The following is a 22,688-nucleotide window of genomic DNA, read 5'->3' as shown; positions in this document are numbered from 1 at the left end:
CTTGCTTCAATAACTCCCCTCAAAGTTGTAAGCCTTTTGTAAAGTCTGTTTTGTACACAGCCTTGAATGGTAAGTGCTTTGGGCTGTGAAGGAACTGAAACAGTGGATGCACAGTGAGGTGACATGGTGCAGAAAAGAGAGGGCAAGAGGGGAAAGGGAAAGGAAGAATGGAGGCCAAGAGACAGGAAGGCAATCACCAAGTTAGAGGGAACTTGGGGACCATAGGCACCTGCCCAGGGAGCTTTGCAGAGCAGAAATGGGATGACATCCATTTGTGAAGTGAGACTGAGTTTGTTTTTTTTCTAAAACCTTAAAGGATGATTTAATCCCAGAAAGCTGGAGAGCTTGGAGACATCCAAGATGCTGACAAATGGACCACCGAAGAAAAAGCACTTAGCACATGGTAAGCACTCAGTAAATGTTCACTGGTGTGATTATTATTTAAGCCTAGGCCTGTCAGACCGAGGACTTTCAGGTTTGGAACTCTGGTGATAAACAATGACTATAGCATCATTCCTGAAAGTATATATGGGCACATACATACTGTGTTAGTGCATTCTCACACTGCTTTAAACAACTACCTGAAACTTGGTAATTCATGAATAAAAGAAATTTAATTAACTCACCGTTCTGCAGGCTGTACAGGAAGCATGGCTGAGAGGCCTCATGAAACTTATAATCATGGCAGAAGGCAAAAGGGAAGCCACCATGTCTCACCATGGCAGAGCAGGAGAGAGAGAGAGAGTGAATGTGGATGTGCTACACACTTTTATTAAACAACCAGATATTCTGAGAATTCACTCACTATCATGAGAACAGCATAGGGGAAATCTGCCCCATGACCAATCACCTCCCACCAGGTTCCTCCCCCAACACGGGCTTACAGTTCAACATGAGATTTGGGTGGGGACACAGCAAAACCGTATCACATGCTTTAATATATTAAAGTTAGAGCTTCATATTTTACCCTATTATAAGACTAAGCTAAAACAAATGTTTTATTAATACTCTGAAAAAAATGGGACCATTAGTTTCATGCAATAAGTTGTAAAGAAAACTAACAATTTCCTGAGAATTTGGAGAAATAGGGGCAACCCTGATTATAGATTAACACCTGGGGCCATGTAGTTAGAAAATAGATACTCCAGAAATTCTTTGAAGCTGTATTTATTTAGTATTTGTAATATTTCGGGTCTGACCCATATGATTAAAATAATTGACTCCACTATAAATGTTCAGAATCCTACTCCTGAGTAAAATAATAAGAATCCAAGACCAAATCAACAGTGTCTTTTTAAAACAAGGTTTTCAGAAATGATCAGTTCTGGGCCAAGCAGCTCATGTATGTTAAAGGGTTTTTTTTACTTTTATTCTTCATGGTATGGTGTAGGATTATTCCAAATCACCTCATCTTTATCTGTTAATACATTTTTTCCCTCAGAGTATATGACGAATGTTTGAAATAAGGTATATTTGTTTAAACAGAGTCTGTAATCAAGTTTTTTTTTGTTTTTTTTATTATTATACTTTAAGTTTTAGGGTACATGTGCAGTCTTGCCCTATCACCCAGGCTGGAGTGCAGTGGCGCAATCTTGGCTCACTGCAACCTCTGCCTCCTGCGTTCAAGTGATTCTCCTGCCTCAGCCTCCCGAGTAGCTGGGACTACAGGCATGCGCCACCACGCCCAGCTATTTTTTGTATTTTTAGTTGACACGGGGTTTCACCATGTTAGCCAGGCTGGTCTCAAACACCTGACCTCAGGCAATCCACCTGCCTCGGCCTCCCAAAGTGTTGGAATTACAGGCGTGAGCCACCACGCCTGCCCTATAATCAAGATTTTATACAATTTCAGACTGGCTCTCTTCCCCGTAGACAAAATTAATGAGGTTTTTCTAATGATTGGATAAGATTATGTTAAGAAATTATAGAAATAATCCTCTTCAGCTTTGCATTTATTTTCTACTCGGAAGGTCAGCCATCCCCTACAAATGGTTCTCTCCAAATGTCTATCCTGAGCTTAATCACAAGTTATAGATATAGAACATTTCACCAAAGACATACCAGTGTCTTCAAAACCATGGTTTTCCATCTCTTTCTGAGGTATTTTCTGCCTTTGGCAAGAAAATAGAGAAGAGGAGGGAAATTTACAATTCCTTTGAGTAACTGTTTTTGCCACGGCTTTCGTGCCACGTTGGGTGTTATAAACCCATTAGAGTGAGAAGCAGTTTTTCTCCTTACTCTCTTAATTCTCCTACTAATTCTAGCACCATTCGGTTTTATTTCCATTTTCAATACTGAGCTGGAAAAAGAACTGTACATGTCAGCCTCTAAAATAGTGTGCACTATAAATTTATTATAATGCTTTCTGAAAGTTATAATTTCATCCACGTGAAATGATAAAGGTCAGTGAAAGCATCTCTTGATTCATCCTGGACCACTCGAGGTTCAGGTTGTCACTCTGCCACCTGATCACATTCTATAAACAATATCTACAACTTTATCATAACAAGTACTACTTAGGTTTCTATGCAAAGCTCAGTAGTTTTTAAAAATGCATTTTGTGTTATTCCTGTGGCATTTCTACTGAGCTGAATTTGACAAATACCATCAGTTTCTATATCAATGAGAAATTGTCCTCTTTTTTTAATTGACCTAACGAGTCATTAGGGTAGGCCTTGGACCGTGACTCTGCTGAATGCTTTATTCTGCCCTGGAAATTGTAATCTTACCACTGAGTTGAAATGACTCTCTTGATGATTGTCCTCATCATCTTTATTGTCAGCACAACCATTTATTGAGCTCTCACTGCACTCCCAAGCATCGCACTGAACTGTATGTGCATATTTTCTCATTTAATCCTCGCAACTGTGTTCATCTACTTTACAAATTAAGAAACTGAGGCACAAACAGGCTCAGGAATTGTCCTGAGTGGTGATGCAGGAATCTATCAGACCTAGCTGATGTCAAACCTCATGACTTAACTGTTGGTGGCACTATTGACCAACAATGGTTCTATTGATGGCTAAAGTCCAAATTGCTTATTAATAGATGGAGCATTAATCATGGCGCCTTTCTTCCTGCTTAGTTGTTAGCTCCGTGGTTGCAGCTTGAAAAATATTTTGTTCTGTTTATCTGCTGTACCGCATACTTAAAAAGAATCTATATTTTTTAAAAGCCCTTGAGAATTTACCTTCACATATACCTAAATACATTTCAAGGTTATTGATATTTTTGCATATTAGCAGCATTCTTCTTATTACCTATGAATTTAATGAAAGGAAAACATTAGACGTGGCATGCAGGTATTATTTCAGAAATTTATTTCTTCTCCACATGGCATCCTTTCACTCTTCCCATTCCCCTGGTGTTTTTATAGTAACCTAGCATCCTGAGCTACCACCTTTTTTGCTGGCACCAAAGGATCATTTATAATCAGCCCTCCACTTGTTCTGAAATGTGCCCTACAATTCATAACACAACAGACAGTGTGTAAGTTTAACAGGACTCGAAGCATTTCTTATCTTGAATTAAACTCACATGTTCAGAGGAGTGAAAATATCAAGAATTGTGGTGTTGTAGGATTCAGCTTTCAGCTTCACAACTAATAAAAAGAACAAACTGTTTTCTGGAATCTTGGGAGTCAGCCTAACCCTCTTTCCATCCTTCACTTTCCCCTACTGCATACACAGTGAAGACTACAACTGATAAGGGATACAGCCACATCCACGAAAGGAAAGTTTCAGAAAATTATCTTTGCTAAGATTAGTGTAATTTTTTTCTCCTGAAAAGCCTCTAGCTTTTTCATCTACGGAACAGGATATGACAAGGCTTTTCTGTTGTTGTTGCATTTAATAAACAAATAAGCTCTGTACTTAGGGCCTGTCATGGCAGAGGCAAAAGAGCCATTTGAGCTGGACCTCTTGACCACAGAGGCATCCGTGTTTTCTCCAAGCAGAGTTAGACACACACTCGCAGGGATACCCAACATCCCCTAGCAGAGAAAATGGTTGTCATTCACCTTTCAATTTGTGTTATCACTGAACCACACTGCTTACCGTGTATGATGAATTACTTTAAAAAAAAAAATTCTGTAGTTATTTTATGAATAGCCCAGTTACATGTGTTTGTCATTTGGGGAGGCTAAAATAATTTTTCAAATGTAAACATTCAAAATTCACCAAACCAGCTTCATTCATAGTCTTTCTCCAGCCATAGTCACCCCTACCTCAACGGATGGCAAATGCATCTGATTGCTGAGATAGGAAACTTGGAAAGACGCTTTGATTCCTCCTCTTATCTCATGTCCCACTTTCAAATGGTCAGGAGATCCTACTGGTTTTACTCTCAGTATATTCAGAATGCGATGCCTTTTCTCCTCCACCCCCCGGCCTTTATCACCTGGGACCACTACCACCATCATTTCTTATTGTCTCATTGAACAGCCTACTAACTCATCTGCCTGCTTCTACCACTGCCTGCAATCTATTTTCTTGTTTAACTTTTAATTGACAGATAATAATTCTACATATTTACGAAGTACAATGTGATGTTTTGATATATGCATACATGATGGAATGATTAATCAAGTTAATTAACATATTCATCATCTCCCATACAGTACTTACCAATTTTTGTGGTGAAAACATTTAAAATCTACTCTGAGCAATTTTGAAATATACATTACATTAGCTATAGACATCATGCTATGCAACAGATCTCAAAAGCTTATTTATTCTGTTTAATCCTCAACACAGCATTCAGAGTGAGCCTTAAAATGACAAAATGACAGCATATTGTGTCACCTGCTGAAAACCTTGCAGAGGATTTCAACTTTCTTTTTTTTTTTTTTTTTTTTTGGAGACAGGTTTCGCTCTCATTGCCCAGGCTGGAATGCAATGGCGTGATCTCAGTTCACCACAACCTCTGCCTCCTGGGTTCAAGTGATTCTCCTGCCTCAGCCTCCCAAGTAGCTGGGATTACAGGTGCGCACCATCATGCCCTGCTAATTTTGTATTTTTAGTAGAGACAGGGTTTCTCCGTGTTGGTCACGCTGGTCTCGAACTCCTGACCTCAGGCAATTCACCCTCCTCGGCCTCCCAAAGTGCTAGGAATTACAGGCATGAGCCACCGATCCCAGCCTCAACTTTCAATAATAGCAGACTAATTTGGTATAGACCAGGCCTTGCATTGGGAACAACTAAAAAGCTTATACAAATAAATACAAATAAAGCCAGAATTAAAAATAAAAGCCATATGAATTAGAAAGACACAACACTGTCATTATTTGCAGATGACATTATTGCATTCATAGAAAACCCAAGAAAATCTACAGATAAATTACTAAAATTAACAAACTTATCTAGTGTCTTAAAACAACTCTTTTATCTACACATAAATTAATAAAAGTTATAAGAATTCGTTAATGTTGTTGGATAAAAGTCATTATATAAAAATCAATTGTTTTACTGTATACAAGACACAAAATATTAATAAAATTTAAAGTATACAATTTATAGATGCATCAAAGAACATCAAATACCTAGAAATAAATCTAATAAAAATCTAATTAATTTTAAAAGTACAAGTTTTCTGTGCACAAAATTATGAAACATTTATTGATACGAATTAAAATATTATATTAGTTGTCTATTGCTGCATAACACATTACCCTAAAACTTAGTTGCTTAAAATAAGAATAAACAGGTCAGAAATTCAGGAGTGCTCTAACTGAGTGGTTCTGGCTTGGGGTCTCTCATGAGGTTGCAGTCAAGATTTTTTGGTCCAGACTGCAGCCATCTGAAGGTTTTACTTGAGCTGGGATATGGGCCTCTCCATATGACTGAGTGACTATGAAACATTGTGGTTGGCTTCCTTCAGAGAAATGATCCAAGAAGCCACAAAGGGAGCTGCAATGCCTTTTATGACCTAGCCCCAGCAGTCACACATCATCATCATCCATACTTGATTGGTCACACAGACCAGCTCTGAGTCAATGCGGTAGAGACTGCACCAAATTTACACAGGGTGTAAATTTCAGGAGGCTAGGGCTGTTGAGAGATGTCTTGGAAAGAGGCTACAACAAAGACCTAGTAATTGAAAGGATGTTCCATGTTCATAGATGAGAAGAATCAATATTATTAAAATGTCAGTTCTCTCCAATACGGTGTGTAGAGTTCATGCATTTACCAAAGCTCTGGCATATGATTTCCTCCACAATCAGCCTAAAATGAATGGAACTCTGACATTCATTCATTTATGTTTTTAAGTTACTGACTTAATTCTGTGCTAGCTCAGCACAGAATAATCAACTGACCCAATCTGTGCCTGCCTTCCATTTCATCCTAAGGCCATGTCCAATTTCCTCATTAACCCAAATAATATCTGAAAGAATATCTTCTCTTGCAGCCATGTGAAGTTTTTACAAATCACGTAAAGGTCTGAATAACACAAACATCAAAATTCTTTAGTCTTTGGCATAAATCCCATGGAACAACCAACTTTCAGGAATCTATTCATTTAGCCAGCTATTTCTCTAATATGAGGACGTGAATCTTCTTCCAATTTCCTCCCCAATGGGACAGCCAAAGGTATTTTCCTATGCAAAACTTTCAAGGCAGTCCCATTACATTATTACGTTATTTAATTATAATAACATGTTACTATAGACTTAGCCCACTTACCAGAATAATCAGTGGTCTTTACAGTTTAATCTCACTTTCTACTTTCTGTTTATGCAGCACATGCTCACCAAAATGCAATACCATGCTATGGTCGCTCATTCTGTCCACAAAGATTGCAGCTTTCTATGCACTCTAACTGCATTCTGCCACCTGCACCCTGTGGCCCACTTGAAATGAAGTTTGACTACATGACCTGCTTCTTTAGCCAATAAAATGTGAGCAGAAGTGATGCACTTCCAGGTGACAGATTTAAGAACTGGCATACTTTGCCACTTGATTTTTTTCCACTCTACATAGCAACTGTAATGTTCAAGATGCTGGCTTCTCCATCAGCCTGCATCCCAGAACGGGGAAAACAAAGTGGCCCTGGGAAAAAGATGAAAACACAACTTTTCTATCAAGCCCAATAGATTGAAGTCAAGAGAGAGCAACGCACGTCTTGAAAAGAACTGAGTGGGCTGGGCGCGGTGGCTCACGCTTGTAATCTCAGCACTTTGGGAGGCCGAGGCGGGTGGATCACCTGAGGTCCGGAGTTTGAGACCAGCCTGACCAACATGGTGAAACCCCGTCTCTACTGAAAAAATACAAAAATTAGCTTGGCATGGTGGCGTGCGCCTGTAGTCGCAGCTACTCGGGAGGCTGAGGCAGGAGAATGGCGTGAACCCAGGAGGCGGAGCTTCCAGTGAGCCGAGATTGCGCCACTGCACTCCAGCCTGGGCAACACAGCGAAACTCCGTCTCAAAAAAAAAGAAAAGAAAAGAACTGAGTGTAACTGTGGGCACATGAAGCTGATCAGAATTAAATAGATAAGAAGCCAATTAAGTTTTTGAGAGAGTTGTATAGCCAGAGAAATCAGGAGCCTGAACTAGAAATATTTACAACTGTTCAAAATTTAAAGCTACCCTGGGCCCTCCCCCTTTCCCCAGGCAGGAGGCAGGCTGAGAAAGCTGTTCTGCCCCCAAGGAGGACATATTCTTCAATGCTCACTTTAGATGTGGGCAAGGAAAGGTAAAGGAAAATTTGCAGAAGAAAGAACCAAATGGACTGAGGAGCAACAGAATGAGAACACTGTAGGATAGCACTTCCTGGCCCCCTATGGGAGGTGGAGCCAAGTCATCTCTTCTAATGGTGTGAGTGGAAGTGATGGGTCCTTCTCATCTTTTCTGATGGTGTGAGTGGAAGTGATGGGTCATTCTCATCTGTTCTGATGGTGTGAGTGGAAGGGATGGGTCGCTCTCATCTCTTCTGATGGCGTGAGTGGAAGGGATGGGTCGCTCTCATCTCTTCTGATGGCGCGAGTGGAAGTAATGGGTCATTCTTGTCTCTTCTGATGGTGTGAGTGGAAGTGATGGGTCCTTCTCATCTCTTCTGATGGCGTGAGTGGAAGTGATGGGTCATTCTTGTCTCTTCTGATGGTGTCAGTGGAAGTATTGGGTTGTTCTCATCTCTTCTGATGGTGTGAAGGGAAGTGATGGGTCCTTCTCATCTCTTCTGATGGTGTGAGTGCAAGTGATGGGTCCTTCTCATCTCTTCTGATGGTGTGAGTGGAAGTAATAGGTCATTCTCATCTCTTCTGATGGTGTGAGTGGAAGGGATGGGTCACTTTCATTTATTCTGATGGTGTGAGTGGAAGAGATGGGTCACTTTCATCTATTCTGATGGTGTGAGTGGAAGGGATGGGTTGCTTTCCTGCTGAGTGTGTTTCTTACTTTCCAGTGAGAGGTCCTGCAGAACACTTTATTCCTTCTGGCTTAAAGACTTTATCATTCTGCCAGACTGGATCCTTGAGAGCCTATGATAAGTAGAGTGCCCCTGCCAGCCCATGACAGCATGCTGTGTGGACAAGAAACAAACTTTCATTGTATTCAGCTTAGATTTGAGGGTCGTATGCTTCTGCATTACCTACTTATCACTGATACACCATTGGAGCAAAAAATCCCATCTATGAAGAAACTCCAATGATTTACCCTATATAGTTCTTTCTCTGAATATGTCGTATGCCTTACCTAGTGAATCCTGGGGCTAAAATGGTATTGAAATGGTCAGATCCAATCCTGAGCCCCTAGTCTTATGAACTAGGCCTCCTCTAACAGGCAGTGCTAAGCTTCCATCATTCCCAGACAGTGGCCCAAGATGAAAGAAGACTTCTCTTTCCCAGCTTAGCTTGAATCACAAAGCAATCCATTTGTTTTGGCCAAGGGGATGTGCTACTCTTTTAACTCAGGGTCGCAGGCTTTAGGGTGCACGCGATGGAAAAGAACTCACTTGTAACTGTTGCACCTTGAGTTCTTCTTGTTCCAAAAAGCTCCAGAAAGAAGCTCAGCCCCAAAAAAATAAAAACCAGATGGATCCAGAGATGCCTGAGTTGGAGATGAACTTTGGTGAACTCTCCTCATTACCATACTAAAAATCCAGTCCAGAGAGGAGTTTATTTGCCATTTTCTACACATGCAATGTATGAAGAAGCACGATGGGTGACTGCACCTGTGTGTGTTGCCTTTACTCCACCTCCACACACAATGACTCAGCCAACCAGCTCAAAAAAAGCCCTGTTTCACCTTTGTTTGTGGAGGCACTGCTTTGGGGAACTGTCGTGGGTGTCCTTACTTCTTGCAAGTAATAAAATCCCCTTGCTAAATCCTCCTTGATTGTGGTCATGCGACTGACACCTGTCAGGTGATTGAACCACCCGTCGTGTTGGTTACAGTCAGACTGTTACTGACCCAGTGACTAGTCACTGTGATAGCGAGGAGGTGGGACATGATCCATTGCCAGCAGAAGCAGGGGGAAAGGGTGCTGGGAAAAACCAAACCATAGCCACAACAACCGGCAACCCAGAAACAGTCCAAAGAGCTCCACTTCAGATCACTCCTTACCTTCTTTACTTCCCAAGGACACCAGGATAGTATGGGCTGTGGCCAGAGCTCTCCACTGATGACAGCTCACAGAAGCTGAGAGGAAGTTAATGACTCTCAAAACAGCTAAGGAACTTTCACTGATCTGCCTTCCTTGCACATAAAGGACATGGTAGAAAGAAAAGTCTGTCTTTGTGTCTGATAAAAATATAGATAACTTTGTTTCAAACTTGAAGTGATAATTCTTGAAGGCAATTATTGGGACTTCGAAGAATACTGCTACATACCAAGCTATTATTGCCATAATTGTCATTAATATCAACATAACCCAAATGTTTACTGGTTCGGTGGTCCCCTCCAAAGTAATAATAGCAGAACCTCTGCTCCCCTACCTCCATCAAAGTGTTGCTCAGCTCTTTCTGGGACTCCCCTGGCAATGCTCCACTAATCTGTTTGTTGGCTGCTTCCTGGGGCTGACTTCCAGATCCCAACTGCTGCTGTGTTGGGGACCAGCCTCAACACCACCCACCCGTAGGGTACCCGAAGTCCGGTGGCGACAAAGGATTGAGAAGAGACAGGTTAAGAGTTCATAAAGGTGGGAGCCAGGGGGCCAGTTGCAAAATGGAGGCTGCAAAAGGCGCCGAGCTCTGGTCTCCATGCTATATATTCAGTACAATCACTTAGATCTAAGAAGCAGATGTTCCGGGCGAAACAGTGAAAGGGTGGCAGTGCGTCATAGGCGTAATCTGTAGCAAGAGTGATTTAAACGAATCTCCTTTGTGCTCAAACAGCATATCTTTAACTTATCGGAGAGTAGCTAGTGGGAGCGGGCTTAAATAGGAGCCCACACGTCTGTCCACATTCCAGTGCTTCAAAGGAGTGCCTTTCTCCTTGAACACAGTGTTTACAGATAAGAGAGAGGGTCTCGCTCTAAGCATGGGAACATGAGGGCTATTAGGAGGCTTTCCTCCTCAGAGACCTCTTGTGGCTTTCCACAACTTATTGTCCCATATTTTTATGGCCAGTTTATACAGGCACCCCACAAGCCCTTTTCCCAACACTGCTGCTCCCAAGATTTTAGTCACCTTGCACGTCTCTTCCCCATGGTGATTTTCCAGTTTGCCTTCACCACCTTTGTGGTGTTAGAGGCCTCCCATCCTCCAGCCAGCCCCAGCAGGGAAAAGGAAGAACCTGCTTGACCCCCACAAACCAACTTGAGAATTCCCCAGGCCCCTCCACAGCATGGAGCACCCTCCTTTCAAAGGGATTAAACCTCAGCATCCTGGAATGAAGGATTTGTATCTATGTTACTTCCCCAAGAACAGAGACCAGCGAATGAATGTTTGTCCTCTATCCACGTGAGACAGGCTAGAACAACAAAAAATGTGCGCCTAAGGCACCTACCTCTTCTGTCAGAATTCACGGGCATATATTTAACCATGGTTGTCCTTTCCCATAAAAAAACATTTTTTATTAAACCCTATGCCACTCACTCAGTCACCTTAAATATAATGAAAACAGTGGTCATTGAATATGCCACATGCCAGGCATTACTTGCATTATTTAATCCTCTTACTAGCCCTAAGGGGAAGGTTACTACTTACACCCCACCTGACAAAGGCAAAAACTTGGTACCAGAAAGAGAATGGGATCTGCCAAAGGTCATCAAGCTAATGAGGAGCAGAGACCTGCCTGTCACCACAATCTGCTCCTAACCACCACTCACATTCATCCAGAAGCAAAGAGAATCATATAATAAATTGCTGCTTATTGATGCTCCCCACCTTCGTTTCCAATGAAGGTACAAGAATCCTTCTTGTTTTCAAACTCAGAAAAGTTCCCAAGAAAGGAAGAAAATGTTCTTGTAAAGAGAGAATATAAATACCATCTTATGTGTTCTTTCATCTTACTGTTGCGCAACTAGTAAAATTGTTGAAAGTGAAGTGGTATTTACATTACATGACTTAAGCTTTTCCATTAAAAAGTATAATATTGGATGACTATACGTTTTGTTTATGTGAAAGGTGGAGGAACCTCTACCCCTCTGAAATTGCAAATGTTACAAAGTGTTGCATATTTATTAGCCCATCTGCTGCTACAGCATTCAAGGGGAAAAAATCTTACTATAAGCAATTTATTCACAGTTACAGTTTTACCACCTGAAGTGCAAAATAACACTTGGTAAGTATTTATTATTGTGCTGAGTAATTTCAATTTAATTCATAACATTTTTTAAAGAGCACAAAAGTGAACATTTGCTTAGCATCAGGTTTTGTTTACATATTTTAGTTGAAAAGAATAATCACTAGTATTTCGGGTGATCAGGATAGGTTGCTCACCAGCATGGTTGTCAGGGATTTCGACTGTTTGAGAAACCTGATCATGTGCTCATGAATGTGGCAGCTGCATGTTACCAAAATTGACAAGGTAAAGATTTGAAAGGTGAATTTGAATCAGACCACCCAGGTATTTCCACCACAGACAGTTCTGCTGGGAGGCAGCTGCTATATTCTGCTGACACTGAATCCAAATGCAGTGCAAGATGAGACTGTTTATCTCTCTTGGCAGGATACCAGCAGTCTGTATCAGCTGGGGGATCTTTCAAAAGCAACTGATCCCAAAATAACAATTAAATAAGGACTCGGGCAGAAAATCACAGTCAGTGTGTAACTTTCACATCTGGGAAAAGGCAAACGAGAACTGTGGGAGTGACCTGTTTATTCCCTGTCTTGCCTTGACCCTGCGTCGAAGGGGAGAGCTGGGCTTTTGAGTTGAAGGTGGCATCTCTCAGGTTTCTACTCCATCACGAGAGAGAATTAGAGTCCTTTAAACAGAACCTCTGAGTTCCAATCTGATGATAGTTCAGATGATTGTAACCGACTCAGTTGCCACCCTGCTGCTCTGGGCAAAATTGCCTATCATGGCTCCTTTAACATGCGTCCCAGTTACCTCTCACTGCACAACAAACCACCCCAAACTTGAGTGATATAAGACCACTACCATAGTAGTACACGCATGGGTTCCGTGGACAGCTTAACTCAGCTTCATGATATCTGGGACCTCAGCTGGAAAGGCTCAAAGGGGTGGGGGTGACTGAACACTTGGTGGCTGGAATCACTGGGAGGCTTCTCACATGCCTGGTGCCTGGGCTGGGATGACCCGGAGGCTGGGCTTTAGCTGGGACCATTGACCAGAGGGTCTACATGTGGCCTCTCCACATGGCTTGACTCTCTCCCAGAATGGCAGCTGGCTCCCAAGAGGAGCATCCAGAAAGCAAATGTTCCAAGTGAGCTAGGTAAAAAGAAAACAAAGCTCATGACCTTTTCTGAACTAGTCCCAGAAGTCACACAGCTTCTCTTCCACCACATCCTCTTGGTTACAGTTCAGGCCAGCCCAGGCTCAAGGGAGCTGTGGCCAGGTCACATCACAGAAGGGCCTGTGGGATGGGAGTTCGTGTTGCCACAATCTTAGGAAAATAAAATCAACCCCAACATGACCAGAGCCTGGTGGTCTCCACTTTGGATTCCTGCCCTGGTTCTCTGAAAGGAATGTGTTGAGAAAAGAATAGAGATCCCAGGGCAGAAATCTCTGGGAAAATCCCTTCCCATTCAATCCACAAATTAGATGCTGTGCATCGTGGCCATCCAAGTCCTGTGGGATACAGTCCTCCCCCTCCCTCCAGATTTGTCTGGACCACATGGCTCTTCTCTCCCCAGCCACACTGCTCTTTAGGGTTCTTTTACTTTCCCCTGGGCTCTCCTACCCTGGGGTCTTGGGTGCTACGACTTGCTCCCTTCCTTCCCTGTTGCATGTATTAATGCCCCCGTATCCTTCAGATCTCAGCTTAAATATCGCTTCTTTGTGGAAAACTTCCCTGACCTTCTTCATTAGGTCAGACTCCTGGAATAAATATTCATAGCACTAGGTACCCTATCATGGTTGTAATTTTTAAAAAATGTCTATCTCTTCATTCTGACTATAAACTCCATGAGGTCATTAACTCTGATTTTGGTGACCATTGATAACCCCTGCCCCAACACATGCACCCAGAAGTACACAATCCCTGGCCCAGATAAGGTGTTTAATAAACGTGTTGGAACATATTTATATAGTGATTGAGTACCTCCTATCCACCGGACGCTGTGTTAGATGTGGGAATACAGTAGTGACTGGGACAATCCCACTCCCAGCATCTTGGAATTCACATGTGGATGGGGAGACAGAGGATAAACAGATAAACCCTCTGGAGGTATGTGTTGAAAGAAAAGCTCTGGGAGAGAAAAATGAGGAACCTAACCTAGCCTTGGAGTCTGAGGAGGTTTTCTTGAGGAAATGAGATTTCCACCAAGTGCTTCTCCTCTCCCGCCACCCTCCCCAAGTGCCGCATCCCAAGCAAGCATGTGGACACACAAGTCTCAATCTCTTCCTTTGTTATAGGAACAAATAATTACTCCTTTGTAATTTACATTTCTGTGTGTCATGGGATAAATCAATATAAGCCAAGGAAAGAGAAGTATAAATATTTCTCAGTGTGAATGGGCTGTTTAATATTGCCTTGTACACTAATTAAGTTGTATGTAATATGGAGAGTACTTTGACACTGTTAAACTTAATAACCCTCTGCTTAAAGAGGAAAGGCACATTTATAGTGAGATTATAGTCCGAGCTGTAATGCCTAGCCATGGGAATGCCTCCAAGAAGATTGTTTCCAAATTCCTCAAAGCACCAGCTTTGAAATAACAATAATGTGCGACTGGCAGCACTATCCTTTAAACAATTTAATTGTTGGCAAGGATATTTCTTCCGCCTGTTCCACCCAGCAGACTAAAAGTCAGAGCAGTTAATAAGCCTCTGGAGGTATCTACTGACCCTTAGAGCCCAGGGAGTATTAGATGGTCAAGAAGGTCCTCAGAGTCACCATGTTATATCAAGAACCTGTATCAAGGCCATCACTTCCATACATATCTCAATCTTGACAACTCTCTATGGTATGTTTATAGCCACTTGAGAGATGAGGAAACTGAGGCTCAGAGAACTTAAACAACTTTATTCATTTCTACATTCATTTCAACAATCAGGCTTTGTGTGTCTGCTTTCTGCCAGGCCTTGCTCTGAGCAGTGAACAAGACAGCCAAAGGCCCTGTCCTCACAGTACTTACATTCTAGTGGGGAATCCAATAAACACGTGGACAACAGCACAAGATGAAATTTGCTTGAAGAGCTTGAAGCAGGGAGCAGTTTAGAGAGGAACTCACAGGGAGGGTGGCCTTGACCTGAGATGGCAAGACAGGGAAGGTGGCCTCTACCTGAGATGGCATGGTCAGAAAAAGCCCCTCCAAGGAGACATTTAACCAGATTGGCAGCTCAGGGAAGAGGTTTCCAGGAAGAGATAACAGCCAGTACGAAGGCCTGGAGATGGACTGTGTTTGGCTTGTCCGAGGACAGGGGAAAGCCAGAGTGGTTTGCATGGGCAGAGTGCCAAGTGGTCTGTCTACTGGAATGTGGACTCCAGTCAGTTCTGTCTGACTCCTAAGCCCATGGTCTTAACCTCACCTCTGTGCTTTCAGCCTCTTACCCAAAAGTAGTAACACAGGGAAGCCTGAGCTGGCTCTTTGGGAAGAGAGAAGCCAAACCACTGTTTCCCCTTTTCTTGGGAGACACAGGCGGACAAACCAGAATTATAATGACATTTCAAGAGGTGGGTAAAAACAAGTTCATCAAGCCCAGCCCCAACCAGGTGAGACTCTGTCTTATCAAATAGTGCTATTTCCCAAAAGGACACTTAAAAAAATTGTAGCTGAAAAATCTGGGTAGAACACAGGATCTTCCATGCCTGCAAAGTAAACCGTTTGCTAACACAAGTCTATGCATTTTATTCATTCATTCACATACATGCTATTACAAAGCATCTACTACATGACAGGTAGTCACTGAAGCTGGTGTGCAAATTACATTCCACCCTTGCCCACACGAAGTTGACAGTGTATGTAGTAAGACCTCGATTAACTAGAACGCTACTCACTCAGTATAAAGGGGCCCATGGCAAAGTAAGCTTGCATCAGGGAAACAGTCACCAAAACAGCATTTTTCTTTTGTTGAGACAGGGTCTCACTCTGTCATCCAGGCTGGAGTACAGTGGCACAATCATGGCTCATTGCAGTCTCTACCTCCCCAGCTTAAGCAATCCTCCTACTCAGCCTCCCAAGTAGCTGAGACTACAGGCGTGTGCCACCATACCTGGCTAATTTTTTATTTTTTTGTAGAGACGAGGTTTCCCCTACGTTGCCCACTCTGGTCTCAAACTCCTAGGCCCAAGTGATCCTCCTTCCTTGGCCTCCCAAAGTGCTGGCATTACAAGCATGAGCCACCACACCTGGCCAAAAGCAGCATTTTTTCAAAAATTGTGGCTTTCCTTACTATCATCTTACTAAGAATGCTAAAACCAATCAGAACTTCATGTTCTAGCCCTCCCTCCCCAGATTAATTAGCCTTCTGGCTTGCAGGGAGAAGAGATCAGTATATAACTAACAAGATTTTCCTTAGCATACCAAGAGCAGGCCAATTGGACCAGGATATTTCCACAATGCCAGGTTAGGGAGAACTGGGGATATGGCAGAAAGAAATGGGGTACCCACCTCTTCAGGTTCAGGCAATTGAGGAGAAACAAAGGAAACAGATGGAGAGGCTGAGGTGAGGCTTCCCTCTTTGGGCCAAAGCTCCAGAATGAAGAGGTGCCTTAGGCAGATTGGCAGTGCCCGCAGGACAAGGGGCTTGTCAACCTCATATTCATGGCTCTGGGTGGAATTGGCTCTCAGGTGGATCTGCCCTAATTCTGATATACCAGGTGCCCCAGAGTGGACAGAGGATACAGACTGGAAGGCCCAGGGGAAGGGGAGGCCTGGAGTCTTAGCTTTTCTAAGCCTCCCACTGTTGCAGGGTCACATGGAGGAATCCTGCATTTCCACATGCTCTGGGGTGAGAAGGAATTAGCTGGGAGCCAATTAGCAATCTTGTCAGAAGCAAATGAATTTTGAATAAACTGGATACTTAAACTGAAATGAGACCATTGAAACCAGAAGAGCCTGAGATCCATCAGTTAGAGGAAATAAAAGAAGTGGCATTTTCCTTGCCATCTGGGTGCAGTGTGAGTGATTTTTATAATCCTACCACATTTTTATCCCTGCTTCCCTTAAACTGTAGGACCCAAGGAACCTGGCTGTTTTGTTCAACATGATGTGACCCCATACCTAACCAGGCCAGGCACAAAATTGGCCTCCAATAAGTAGTGGATCAAAGTATGAATGGATAAACTGAATGAATGAAGCCAAACTTGAATTTCTCCATAGCTTATCCAAATGGGAATGGTAAAAATCATAAGCTTTTGAGAAGAGAACTTATTAAGAAGCCCTACATCAGTCATGACTGGCATCATTGGTTAGTTTACCCAATTTTCTCCTTCCCTTCATCTTCCTAATGCAACTCTGGTTTGGGCTGCAGTATACCCAGTTAGAATACGCCCTCCCCAGAGTCTCATCCAGCTGGAGATGATCAAGTCACCAGTTCTAGCTAATAAGTTGCCAGCCAAAGTATTCAGGATGAGACTTCCAGAAAAAGCATTGTTTTCCTGATAACAATGGACAGACCCAGAATAAAAGGCATGTACCTTTTTTCTTTTTTTTTTTTCTTCTCTCTTCTCCTACCTGAAATGCAGAAGAAATGTCTGGAAGTGCTACAGCCATTTTGCAACTGTGAAGGCAAAACTCACACTCTAAAGATATCAGGACAAGAACCTGGAAGTGTGGGTCCTCACTTCTTCCTTGAGCATCTATACTCATCCTGAACTACAGTTTCCAGAACACATTTCACATGAGAAGAATAAGCATCTTTTGTCTACAGATCCCAAAGCATCCTTGGACACAATTCAGAGTTTCATGAACTTGAGCGGAAAGAGATTACATTTTCATTTTCACAAAGCCCTGAGATTCAGCATTCCCCTGCTTTGTGAGTGTGGACGGCAGACCAGGGTAGTATCAGCAATGCTTTTGGTTTTGTGTGATGGTTTGCTCTCAATTGGCAAGCCAGCAATACACCTTCATCGTCCTACCCTCAGGAATATATCAACCCTCCAGCCCTGTTATAATTTAGTTTGCAGGCATCTTGATCACCTTTTCCTTCCACAAGATGTCACACTGCTTCATTACATTGATGACATTACACTGATTGTATCTAGTGAGCCACAAGTAGCAACTACTCTTGACTGATTGATAAGGCATTTGCATGTCAGAGGATGGGGGAATAGCTGACTAAAATTCAGGGGCCTTTCATCTTAGTTAAATTTCTAGGGGTCCAGTGGTGTAGGGTACTTTAGAAGGTCTAAAGCAAAAGGTAAGTTGTTTCATCTGGCCACTCCTACAACCAAGAAAGAGGCACAATGCCTAGTGGGCCTATTTGGATTTTGGAGGAGACATATGCCTCGTTTGGGTATGTTACTCTGGCCCTTTTCCTGAGTGACCTGAAAAGCTGCTAGCTTTGAGTGAGGCCCAGAACAGGAGGAGGATCCCCAGTAGGGAGTTGCTGTGCAAGCTTCTCTGCCACCTGAGCCATAGGATCCAGCAGACCCAATGGTACCTGAAATGTCAGTGGCAGATAGGGATGCTGCTTGGAACCTTTAGCAGACCCCCATAGGAGAATCGCAGTGCAGGCCTTTAGGGTTTTGGAGCAAGGCCTGCCATAATTTACAGATGCTCTCCATGTGAGAGACCACTTTTGGCCTGCTACTGGGCCTTAATAGAAACTGAATACTTGAACAGGCCACCATGTTACCATGCGATCTGAGCTGCCTGTCATGACCTGGGTGTTAAAAATTATCTGACTGCAGGCCGGGCGCGGTGGCTCATGCCTGTAATCCCAGCACTTTGGGAGGCCGAGGCGGGTGGATCATGAGGTCAGGAGATCGAGACCATCCTGGCTAACAAGGTGAAACCCCGTCTCTACTAAAAATACAAAAAAAATTAGCCGGGCGTGGTGGCGGGCGCCTGTAGTCCCAGCTACTCGGGAGGCTGAGGCAGGAGAATGGCGTGAACCCGGGAAGCGGAGCTTGCAGTGAGCCGAGATTGCGCCACTGCAGTCCGCAGTCCCGCCTGGGCGACAGAGCGAGACTCCGTCTCAAAAAAAAAAAAAAAAAAAAAAAAAAAAAAAAAAATTATCTGACTGCATTAGTCCATTCTCATGCTGCTGTAAAGAACTGCCCAAGACTGGGTAATTTATTGAATAAATTGACTCACAGTTCTGCATTGCTGGGGAGACCTCAGGAAACTTACAATCATGGTGGAAGGCAAAGAGGAAGCAGGCACTTTCTTCACAAGGCAGCACAAGGGAGAAGTGCCAGGAGGGGAAATGCCAGATGCTTATAAAACCGTCAGATCTCATGAGAACTCACTCACTATCATGAGGACAGCATGGGGGAAACCTCACCCATGACCCAATCACTTCCCACCCCAGGTCTCTCCCATGACACATGGGGATTATGGGAACCACAATTGAAGACAAGATTTGGGTAGGGACACAGCCAAACCATATCACTGACCTACCAAGCCATGAAGTTGGGCATGCACAGCAGCACTCCATCACCAAATGAAAGTGGTGTATTCATGATCCAGTTTAAGCAGAACCTAAAGGCACAAATAAGTTACATGAAGAAGTGGCCCAAATGTCCGTGGTCCCCACTCCCGCTACACTGCCTTCTCTCTCCCAGCCTGCACCTATGGTGTCATGGAGAGATCCCCCTAATTAGTTGACAACTCAGGCCTAGTTTATAGATGGTGCTGCACAATATAAAGGCTGGTGCCACCTGAAAGTGGACAACTGTAGCACGACAGTTCCTCTCTGGGACATCCCTCTAAAGCACAGCGGTGAAGGGAAATCCTCCCAGTGGGCAATACTTCTGGCAGTACACCTGGTTGTGCACTTTTCTTAGAAGGAGAAATGGCCAGACATGCCATTATATACCAGTTTCCTGGGCTGTAGTCAATGGTTTGGCTGAATGGTCAGGGACTTCCAAAGAACATGTTTGATGACAAGTAAATGTAGGGGAAGGGGTATGTGGATGTTTCTCTCTGAATAGGCACAGGACATGAAGATATTTGTGTCCCACATGAATTCTCATCAAAGGGTGACTTTAGCAGAGGAGGATTTTGATGCCCAAGTGACTAGGATGAACCATTCTGTGGATACCACTCAGCCTCTTCCCCCAGCCACCCCCGTCATCACCCAATGGGCTCATGAACAAAGTGGCCATGGTAACAGGGATGGAGGTTATGCATGGGCTCAGCAGCATGGACTTTTGCTCACCAAGGCCAACCTGGCTATGGCCACTGCTGAGTGCCCAGTCTGCCATAATCAGAGACCAACACTGATCCCCTGACATGGCTCAGCATTCCCCCGGCAGATCAGCCAGCTACCTGGAGGCAGGTTGATTACATTAGACCACTTCCACCATGGAAGTTGCAGTGTTTTGTCCTAACTGGAATACATACTTACTCTGGGTATGAATTTGCCTTCCCTACACACAATGTTTCAGCCAAAACTACAATCCGTGGATTCATGGAATGCCGTATCCACCATCGTGGTATTCCATGGCATTGCTTCTGACCCAGAAACTCACTTCACAGCCAAAGAAGTGCAGCAATGGACCCGTGCTCGTGGAGTTCACTGGTCTTACCTTATTTCTTACCATCTTGAAGCAGCTGACTTGACAGAATAGTGGCATGACCTTTCAAAGACTCAGTTACAACACGAGCTAGGTGGTAACACCTCACAGAGCTGGGGCAGCGTTCTCCAGAAGGCCATATATGCTCTGAATCAGCATCCAATATATGGTGCTGTTTCTTCCATAGTCAGAATTCATAGGTCCAGGAATCAAGGAATGGAAATGGAAGTAACACCACTCACCACTACCTCTAGTTGCCCACTAGCAAAATTTTTGCTTCCTATTCCCTTGACTTTGTGCCCTGCTGGTTTAAAGGTCTTAGTTCCAGAGGAGGAATGCTTCCAGTAGGAGACACAACAATGATTCCATTGAACTGAAAGTTAAGACTAACACCCAGCCACTTAGGGCTTCTCTTGCCTCTGAGTCAACAGGCGGAGAAGGGAGTTATAGTGTTGGCTGGAGTGGCTAATCCAGACTACCTAGGGGAACTTGGGCTACCACTTCACATGAGGGTAAGGAAGAGTATGTCTGGAATACAAGAGAACCCTTAGAGTATCTCAGTATTACCATACCCTGGGATTAAGGTCAATGGAAAACTACAAGAACCCAATCCAGACAGGACTACAAATGGCCCATACACTTCAGGAATGAAGGATTGGGTCACCCCACCCCAGGTAAAGAACCATGACCAGATGAGGCGTTTGCTGAGGGCAAAGGGCATACAGAACAGGTAGTAGAAGAAGGTACAACCACGTGACCAGCTATGACCACATGACTGGTTACAGAAACAAAGACTGTAATTGTCATGAGTGTATCCTCCTTTTTTATTAATATTTTTGTGTGTACATATATGTATATTAAACATATATCTCATTTTTCTTTCTTCTCTTATTCCCCTATCATGTAAAATAAGATGTATTGACTTTGTTACCAGCATTTAAGCATTATTAGTTGTACATCATATATTTAAGTTATGGGATAGCATTAGAAGAGTAAACATCACTCTTCCAAGAAGGAATTAGTGTGTTTTCGGTTGTACACAGGATAGTTGTATCATGTCAGGAAGAATTATGACCTGGTTATTTGGAGATTACGTATGGCTTAAGCAGATGCATATGGGTGCCAACTTGACAAGGGGTGAACTTGCAATGGTTAATGTTATAGGTCAACTTGACTTGGTTAAGAGATACCCAGGTAGCTGGTAACACATTATTTCTGGGTGTGTCTGTGACGGTGTTAGTAAAAAAATTCCACTCTCACCAGTGTGGCAGGCAGCATCCAATCCATTGAGGTCCCGGATAGAAAAAAATGGCAGAGGAAGGGCCAAATTGCTCTCTTTTCTGGAACTGGAATATCCCCATGTTCTCCAAATCTCACGGTCATCACAAGTCCAGGTTCTTGGGCCTTTGGACCGCAGTGGCCCCCCACTTTCTCAGGCCCTCAGTCTCAGACCAAATCACACCACCAGTTCCCCTGGTTCTTCAGCTTGCAGATAGCAGATCGTGGGATTTCTTGGCTCCCATGATTGCATCTTAATAAAGATAGATAGATAGATGATAGATAGATAGATAGATAGATAGATAGATAGATAGATAGATAGATAGATTTTGTTCCTGTGGCGAGCCCTGACTAATCTAATACACTTTGTTAATAGAAATCACAGATGTTTTCCTAACATTACAGTTGTTGCCAATATCTCTATTTATCACCTACAGTTAGTTGTCACTATTTTGAAGTGCCAGTGGTAGGTTATTAGACACACTTCTTGACCTGGTTACTAACGCATTAATTAAAAAGCACATATACTACTATATCTCAAGTTTGGTCTTAAAAATATTGTGAAAATGGTTTTACTGTGATTGGTTTCCTTCTTCATCAGGTGTACTTTATTTTATGCATATATAAACGTTCTCTGAGAAGGAGTCCCCGGGCTTTGCAGACTGCCAAACGAGGTCACGGCACAAAAATAGTGGTTCAGAGCCTTTGTTGCATTGCACTGAGCACTGTGATCAGGTTTTCTTTAATGCTGCACAACAGAATTTCTAACTGATCCTCCCATTTTTCCCACCTGAAACACTGAAAACACTCAGGGAAGGGTAATTTCTGGAACCAAGGGCAGAGACACTGATGAACAGAGAACAACGCAGAGAACAACCTTTGTAGCTCATTTCTCTTTGACCTTGACCTTTTTCCTAACTCTAAGAGTCCTCTGTTGAAATTTCAGATACCCCTGGAAGATACTAGAGGAAGGTGGTCCGTGGTGTCTTTCCTCCTTCACAATCTTCCCTTGGGCTAGGCCTTTCTGCCATTCACAGGACAGTATCCAACCAATAAGGTAGAAAATGGCTTCCTCCTTGTGAGTGTGTGGTCCCCTAGGACTCGAAACGTCTGGAAATTAACGGAGGCTTTCCCCTACCTGTGCTATCATCCTCAGGCACGCCTCTC

The 22,688-nt window shown here is 43.2% G+C and overlaps 1 protein-coding gene across 6 annotated transcripts in view; it reads left to right on the top strand.

Moving 5' to 3' along the window:
• Window positions 1-18,702, top strand: part of CFAP20DC (CFAP20 domain containing) — a 333,853-nt gene extending 315,151 nt beyond the window's left edge. For 2 of the 6 annotated variants that reach the window (XR_007095646.1, XR_001740053.3), the window contains 2 exons: window positions 317-403; window positions 4,865-6,159. The gene's annotated coding sequence lies outside the window, so the exon portion shown is untranslated. Of the gene's footprint in view, window positions 1-316; window positions 404-4,864; window positions 6,160-6,737; window positions 11,533-17,246 lie in introns of those variants that run through there. The other 4 variants (XR_001740051.3, XR_007095648.1, XR_001740054.3 and 1 more) reach the window with 4 other exon arrangements.
• The last annotated feature ends 3,986 nt before the right edge of the window (window positions 18,703-22,688 follow it).

This window comes from Homo sapiens, chromosome 3 (assembly GCF_000001405.40).
Source record: "Homo sapiens chromosome 3, GRCh38.p14 Primary Assembly".
Classification (NCBI taxonomy): Eukaryota; Metazoa; Chordata; class Mammalia; order Primates; family Hominidae; genus Homo; species Homo sapiens.
This window is presented reverse-complemented; position numbering and strand designations above follow the sequence as displayed.